The sequence below is a fragment of the Homo sapiens genome, chromosome 1 (assembly GCF_000001405.40).
Source record: "Homo sapiens chromosome 1, GRCh38.p14 Primary Assembly".
In the NCBI taxonomy this organism is placed as follows: Eukaryota; Metazoa; Chordata; class Mammalia; order Primates; family Hominidae; genus Homo; species Homo sapiens.
Genome location: NC_000001.11, coordinates 248,648,942 through 248,656,782, shown reverse-complemented (window position 1 = coordinate 248,656,782; position 7,841 = coordinate 248,648,942). Strand labels below are relative to the sequence as shown.

The following is a 7,841-nucleotide window of genomic DNA, read 5'->3' as shown; positions in this document are numbered from 1 at the left end:
TATTAGAGTACATAGTAATGTAGCCAGTTGTTGGAAAAAATGGTAAGTGGTAAGTTCAACCAGTTAAGATTTAAGTTGGGGTGTTTATGTATTTCTTTGTGGTATTTTGTCAGCTTTCTAAAGGTGTAATTTTGTTGGAGTTTCACTGAAGAGAATATTATACCTGTGCAATCATGATTTGTAGCCTGTTTTCTTAAGATGCCCCAGATTGCATAAGCTTCAGCCTCAGAAAACCTGAATTCCAACCCCCACTAATTTAAACACCAGTGAGGTAAATATGAATTACATGAAAGCCAAGATCATGCAGGCATAGATTGCAGCACAACAAGACTGCAGGGTCTAAAATTCCCCCCCACCCTTCCCCGCTCCCCCCAGGAATCGTTGTGGGCCCTTTTGAGAATACTGGATGAGAAAAGGTCTGTCTTCTTGAAGTAACTCAAAGATCTTATATACACTGAGATCAGTAAAATGAATATTTTTAAATGCTTGCAATGCTGAAAGTTTTATGTATTACAAGTTACAAGAAAGACAGGATGATTACATACTAATACTTGAGTGATGGGGAATGGCCCAAAATGTATCTTTTGCAAGACAATACTTCCTTAGAAACATTGATTTCTATTTCAAGAGAGATGCCCGAAAGTTGGAAGTGTAAAAAGAGAAACTTTCAAAACAATGTCGTGAACAAAGTAAAAGAGAAAAAAGCAATTTAAGTTGCAGCTGCCAGCAACCTGACTTATCTTGGGTGTTTACTTTGTAAATTGAGAGGTTACATTTTTCTTAAGGAGTCTGTCACATTTTATATGAACTGTAATTGCAGGCTAGGGACAAGGACCCCAGAGACAGTGATGTCAATGTATCTCCTGAATGGGAGTACTAGCCATCACCATGATGCAAGCTCTATTTGTCACTGGATCTCTATCTTCTTAACAGCCTGCATAATGCAGCTGCTGTCAACTGACGTTAGGCATTTACAGATTCAGGCTGTTCTATTTCTAGATCTTCAAAGGATTCACCTATCACTGTATTTTAAAAAGTCTCAATAAGTTAGGGACTGACCCTTATCCTTCTGCCAACAAGATGTAATTCCCACGCCTAATCCACTGTACCTTCTTGTTTGAATTCATACTCTCCCTGCCTGTACTGTTTCAGTTCAGAAAACAAGTTTGAAATACAGAACATAGAATACCTCCAGTTTAGAAAGTCTGATGTATGCCTCTTAGTTCCCCATACTTACTACATAAAAGGAAATGCTGAACAATTGCATGTACTACCTTAGTTCTGTAAGGTTTCTCTCTAAATATTCAGATCATCGTGTTTGGGGAAGATACTGTGTAAGGTAAGTTTGCAGTCTTGATGCTGATCAATCGCAGGATGCTTTAAATAGATTCTGGACTTCCTAGAAAGTTTTGGTTCAAACCAGAGAAATACTGGAGAATGTTGAAGTTGATACATCTGACTTTGAACTGCAGATACTTGTGGATGGTACTAATATATAAATCTTAGATAATTCAATCTCGTTTCTTAGTAGTTATGGACTCTTATCTTTTCTGTACATCAGAATGTAGCAGATTACTTGAATTCTATGCAGATCTGTCTGCATAATGATTCCAACAGATTTTATCATTGCAACATATATTCACCTATAATTTTAAAATCTTCATAAAGAGCTTATCTAAATCGTAGTATTCCACCTTGTTTAGGTACCTCATAAGCATCTCTAAAAATGGTTTAGTTAGGAAGACCCTCCATATCCTGCTCCGAGAAACCATTGCAGCATACTTAATACTTAGAAGTTCCCAGAAGCTGAAAAGAATGTGAGTGGCTTGCCAGACGTCCAGAAGCTTATCAGTGATGAAGATAGAATATAAAGCCAGCTTTGATTAAAAACCATGTCATGTAGCATTGTGAACATTAAACATGCCAAGAATGTTTCAAGGGTTAGGAATAGACAGGGGAAGAACTCAGTTCAACTTCTGTAGAGACTGAAGGTGATCATGCCCTTGGTCTGCTTCAAGACAATCCCTCGGCCTTAATCAAAACTTCTCTATCGTTCTAAAGATTCCCCAAGTGATTTTACTTTAGTTGTGGAAGAAAAGCCATTTTCTAGAAGTGACACTTCATGTGAAAATACTGCTGGGGAGGAAACATAATGAATCTGATTGTACAGAGAATTAAATGTCTTATAGTCAGGGTCACCATTTAGCCCTGTCTTCTCAAGATATTCCCTTTCTTATGCCTGTTGTCCTCATGTCCTGTCTAGCTTAGCCTTTTAGCACTCAAACGTATTCTGAGTTAGATGGTCACCAAGAATTGTGCCAATCTTTGATGCAGAGCAGGGTCTGACAGAACGACAACAAAAATGAAAAAGTAGAAAACTTGGCTACCTGCTGCTGGACCTGCTATTGAAGAGAAAAACATAATGGACAGCAAAGGGTGAGATTCCCAAAGCTAACTGTCGCTATCACAGTCTTAAGGTTAACCTGGCACTCATTTTTAGTACTCGCTTTTTATACCAGAATTTGTACATGCAACAAGGGTGAAAACTAATTTTACCCATGACAGTGTTCCCACATTTCCAACAGTTCTCCTTGTTACTTAGGTCATTCCTGCTCATCATTCACACTTGAACTCCTGCTTATTTGAAGAACTCCAATTAGATAGAATTCACTGGCATGATCTTAAAGTACAAATTTATCATTGTTGATCTCATAAACCAATGGTTGCATAGTTTTAATGTCTAGACCAAAGATTTTAAGTGCATAGAAATTACATTAAAAATTTTAAATTGTATATTAATCACATACCTCGATGGAAAATATTTTTTTCAAAAATCCAGCACACAGAATGAAAATGTCTGAAATATTTCAAAACTTTTTGGCCTAAACATCAAAGTTACAATTACATGTATGTAACTCGGGGGGCAAAATAGCTGCACTAAATAGAACAAAAGAATATTAATAAAAAATAAAAATCTATAGACTAATCTCGACAAATCACCTATATATAGAAAAGGTCATGAAAAATCAAAATAGCCAAAATATACACTATGTTCAATTTTTTTCATAATCAAATCCATATTGTGAGTTTTGATACTAGTGCTAAATGCTGGGGCAAGCATGATGCTGCCGCAAGTGTGTTCTCTTACTGTTAAGCATTTAACAACTTGGTGATAAGCTTCTAAAGCATAGTAAACCGTTGTCCATGAATTATGCCAGAGAATTCACCTCACAATACTTGCATTATAAGCAAACTCAACAACGTGAATGTGAACCAAGCTGAGTGTCTCATATTCAATCACAGCAATATTCTCTATAAAGACTGGGAAAGATGTGCTAATTATTAGGTATACATAGAACTGGACGTTTACTAAGGTTTGGAATTATGCATAGACAGTTATTACATGGGGCATGGCATAATCCAGTTGATTCCTTTATTTTCCAAGTATTCTTAAATGTTGCTATACTGGGTAACTCTTAAAATACAGTGAATGAATCAACACTACCAGAGTTGGAAGATGGTTGTAAAATCTGAGTGGTTATGGAGCCACTCATATCTCCCCTTTCCCTTTGTGAAGTAAGCTGGGGAGATCCCCAGGGTCTCATTAGCAAGTTTCAGGGCCAGGAGTATTCATGGTCAGGGTTCAGGACACAGCTGCCCTGATAAGGATATTTTTGGACCAATTTTTTCATCTTGGGCTTTAATATTCCCAGTGGACCAATAGCAGTCACTGTGGCTGGTCCCCAGTAGGTAGCCATCATTCTCTGAATTTACTGTGAAATAACAAGCACGGCCCTCCAAGGATCTTGTTCTTATTAAATTATGGACAACCAGGTCTGGGTGAGCATTCAGCACTCTCCATCATACGAATTGCTACTAAATGTTTGCCTTTAATTTTCCCACTGGTTTAACAGTTTTTAAAATAATAAAGATACATTATAAATCAGCTGATGGAAAGCTCTGGCATAAAGCTGGTAATATTTCAAGAATGAGAACTGAAAAATGCATAAGGATATAATGTGGGTTTCATCAGTAAAAATCTGAATTTTCATCGTTTTCCATCCATCCACTGTGGCATGGTTGTGGTGGAATTGTACTGAGGGGCCCTGGTGTGAAGTTCCTGTCTACCAGCCAGTGGGCTGCAGCTTCCATCATTTTTATTGTCCTTTGTTCACATACCAAATAAGTCAAACCTGCTGAGGTCTTAAAACCATTCTGAAAGTGCACCTGTGGTCACACAACACACGTTCATGTGCCTCAATTCTAGGCTCGAAGACAGATGATGTCTTACATTCTTTCAGGGCCTTTCAGAATATCAAACTTTGGCTTACCCAATGTGCCTCTTGAGAAATATTTATGGAATGAATTGATGTCTACTTTGTCCTGTTGGAAAACAGCATAGAACAATTACACTGTCACTGTTTAAAGAACAATGTTCCTCCTTGGGGAAGTTTCCTTAAGCCTAATTTTCAACTGTAGAATGGTCTAGTATCTTACAAAGTTGTTTGGAAACGTAAAATTTACGAATCACTTATTAATGTTCTTACTGCTATTTGAGGGTGAATGCATATACAAGTAAAGCCATTTTTCTAATTTGGTACACACCTAAATTTTTTGGCTCAATTCTAATTTGTGGTGTGTTTAACTCTGGAGGACTTGTTTGGATGAAGGTATTTGGAGCTGTCATATTCTCAGGGATAACTCTAGACCAGTGCTGCCTAGTAGAAATCCTAGGGGAGCCACAGAGAATTCTAAATTTTCTAGTAACCACATTAAAAATGTAAAAAATAGGTGAAACTAATTTTAATCTATATTATCCAAATATATCTAAAAGTTACCATAATATAAAGTTTTAAGGAGATGTGTTGCATATATTTTTAACAGGTGTTTGAATTAACTTTGTGCTCATGGCACATCTTGATTTGGAGCAGTCGTGTTTCAGGGGCTCCACAGCTTCATAAGCCTCATGGCTACCACCCTGGATAGTGCAGATCTATATGATGCAGGGAGAAGCTATCCAAATAACTCAAGTGTTCCTAAATTGTGGTAAAATATTTAACTGATATGGATACATATGCAGAATCTAACTTCAAGTATGAGAGATCCCTTCTTTTTGGGATACACTAGGTCTAATACTTAAACTAGTTTATTTTTTCATAAGTTAAATGGGATTCTAACACTTTAACGAGTTGTATGTTAATAATTGGTAGTTTGCTGCTGCAAGAAGGAAAGCAAACACCACTTGACCCTCAACGTTTTCTCCCATGATTTTTCCTCCTATGAATTCTTGGATGACTTCTCAGAACTCAGCTCTTTTTATTCAACACAGGCTCATTCTGCAATACTCCACCTGATACATGTAAGTTGAGTACTCATTTTACAATGTACAAGTGTGTCAAGAATGGTGTAAATTAGGTCAAATAATGCAGTTATTCTTCCATAGGCAAATATATACTCGTGGTGATCTTCAAACTGGATTCTAAGTGTGAGAACTTAGAGTCTAGTATAAGGAGAGCAGTGTAGGATGTGGACAATCCTCCTTTCCTCCCCACCACCCTATCCTATTGAATCAGGCTGGTTCCATTCTTATGTCTTATATGCATCCTCACCAATGTAAGGTGGTACTCGAAAGACAGAAATAAATGGTCATGAACAAAAAGATTGTTTGATCATGAACTCTAAATAGTAATCACCAAATCAAGAAAATCCTTAAATGAACAATGATGGTATAATGAGATGTAGCACAATCCTGCTCAGGCAGTTCTCTCAGGGAAATTATGAGCTTCAAGAAATAAGATCGACTTGACCTTGGTTTGTTCATGACTACATCATAATGTTTTATGTAAATCAGATACCTTTCCAACTTTGTCATATCTCTTTTGTGTACCCTACAGAGCTATGGAGCAGAGCAATTATTCCGTGTATGCCGACTTTATCCTTCTGGGTTTGTTCAGCAACGCCCGTTTCCCCTGGCTTCTCTTTGCCCTCATTCTCCTGGTCTTTTTGACCTCCATAGCCAGCAACGTGGTCAAGATCATTCTCATCCACATAGACTCCCGCCTCCACACCCCCATGTACTTCCTGCTCAGCCAGCTCTCCCTCAGGGACATCCTGTATATTTCCACCATTGTGCCCAAAATGCTGGTCGACCAGGTGATGAGCCAGAGAGCCATTTCCTTTGCTGGATGCACTGCCCAACACTTCCTCTACTTGACCTTAGCAGGGGCTGAGTTCTTCCTCCTAGGACTCATGTCCTATGATCGCTACGTAGCCATCTGCAACCCTCTGCACTATCCTGTCCTCATGAGCCGCAAGATCTGCTGGTTGATTGTGGCGGCAGCCTGGCTGGGAGGGTCTATCGATGGTTTCTTGCTCACCCCCGTCACCATGCAGTTCCCCTTCTGTGCCTCTCGGGAGATCAACCACTTCTTCTGCGAGGTGCCTGCCCTTCTGAAGCTCTCCTGCACGGACACATCAGCCTACGAGACAGCCATGTATGTCTGCTGTATTATGATGCTCCTCATCCCTTTCTCTGTCATCTCGGGCTCTTACACAAGAATTCTCATTACTGTTTATAGGATGAGCGAGGCAGAGGGGAGGGGAAAGGCTGTGGCCACCTGCTCCTCACACATGGTGGTTGTCAGCCTCTTCTATGGGGCTGCCATGTACACATACGTGCTGCCTCATTCTTACCACACCCCTGAGCAGGACAAAGCTGTATCTGCCTTCTACACCATCCTTACTCCCATGCTCAATCCACTCATTTACAGCCTTAGGAACAAGGATGTCACAGGGGCCCTACAGAAGGTTGTGGGGAGGTGTGTGTCCTCAGGAAAGGTAACCACTTTCTAAAGAAATTTCATATGCTGCTAGAGACTTGAAATGAAGGATACAAGACTTTATCATTGCCCTTGAATTTAAATATTCTCTGCCTGGAAACAAGTGACCCACATGCCACCAACTGTGGGGCATTTATGGGATTTGGAAAGCTGCCTGGGATTTTAAGGATTTCATTTTTTTGAAAGGTATGAAGGCTCTGAACAATGAACAGTTTGGGCTGGGGTAGGCATAAAGTTGAGGTTTAGTAGTCACCCATGAGCTCTTAACAAGGTGTGTATTCCACTAAAAATCATGGAGTAGCCTGTTTCTGGCTCTGCTCAGTCATGACAAAAACGGTCATCTTCAACTACTTCCCTGACTTCTCTCGACTTTTCCCCTTTAGACAGTCTGTCCATTGACCATTATAAAGAATCAACTCAAATATTTATCATATTTCAAATATAGCAGTCACCATCTTATCCTCAGGCTGTGTTCTAAGTCTTTTTTGGGGGAAGCCTGAAACCATAGTATAGAACTATAGAACCTGACTGCTGTCAGTCACAACATATTTGCTCATCTTCTACCATAAATGTAATACATTTTCTTTCTTACCTAAGCACTTATCACACACTGTGGCTGTAGGTTTTGCAGTTTGAGGTGTGACAGCAAAATTACCACAAATGTGTTTTTCCTCCTACACAATTTCAAAGAAGATTCATTCTTACTGTAGATCTTGGCAATCTCAGCATATCTTTTTTTCTTGCCAGAACCTCCAGTTAAGAACTTATTAGAATGTGTCTCTGATAATGGTTTGGCTGTTTCCCCACCCAAATATCATCTTGAATTGTAGCTCCTATAATCCCCATGTGTAGTGGGAGGGGCCTGGTGGGAGTTAATTGAATCCTGGGGGTGGGTTTTTCCCATGCTGTTCTCATGATGAATAAGTCTCACGAGATCTGATGGTTTTACAAAGGGTGGTTCCCCTGCACATGAGTCTTGCCTGCTGCCATGTAAGACATGCC

The 7,841-nt window shown here is 39.4% G+C and overlaps 1 protein-coding gene across 2 annotated transcripts; it reads left to right on the top strand.

Annotated features, from left to right (window-relative positions):
* Positions 1-1,254: 1,254 nt before the first annotated feature.
* On the top strand, positions 1,255-6,945 carry OR2T27 (olfactory receptor family 2 subfamily T member 27). Of its 2 annotated transcripts, NM_001386060.1 has the most exons (3): positions 1,255-1,339; positions 5,211-5,359; positions 5,895-6,945. In NM_001386060.1, the coding sequence occupies exon 3, from the start codon at positions 5,899-5,901 to the stop codon at positions 6,850-6,852; it is 954 nt and encodes a 317-aa protein (NP_001372989.1). In that variant the 5' UTR covers positions 1,255-1,339; positions 5,211-5,359; positions 5,895-5,898; the 3' UTR covers positions 6,853-6,945. The 2 variants fall into 2 exon arrangements, with proteins under 2 accessions (NP_001372989.1, NP_001001824.1); NM_001001824.2 differs by lacking the exon at positions 5,211-5,359.
* The last annotated feature ends 896 nt before the right edge of the window (positions 6,946-7,841 follow it).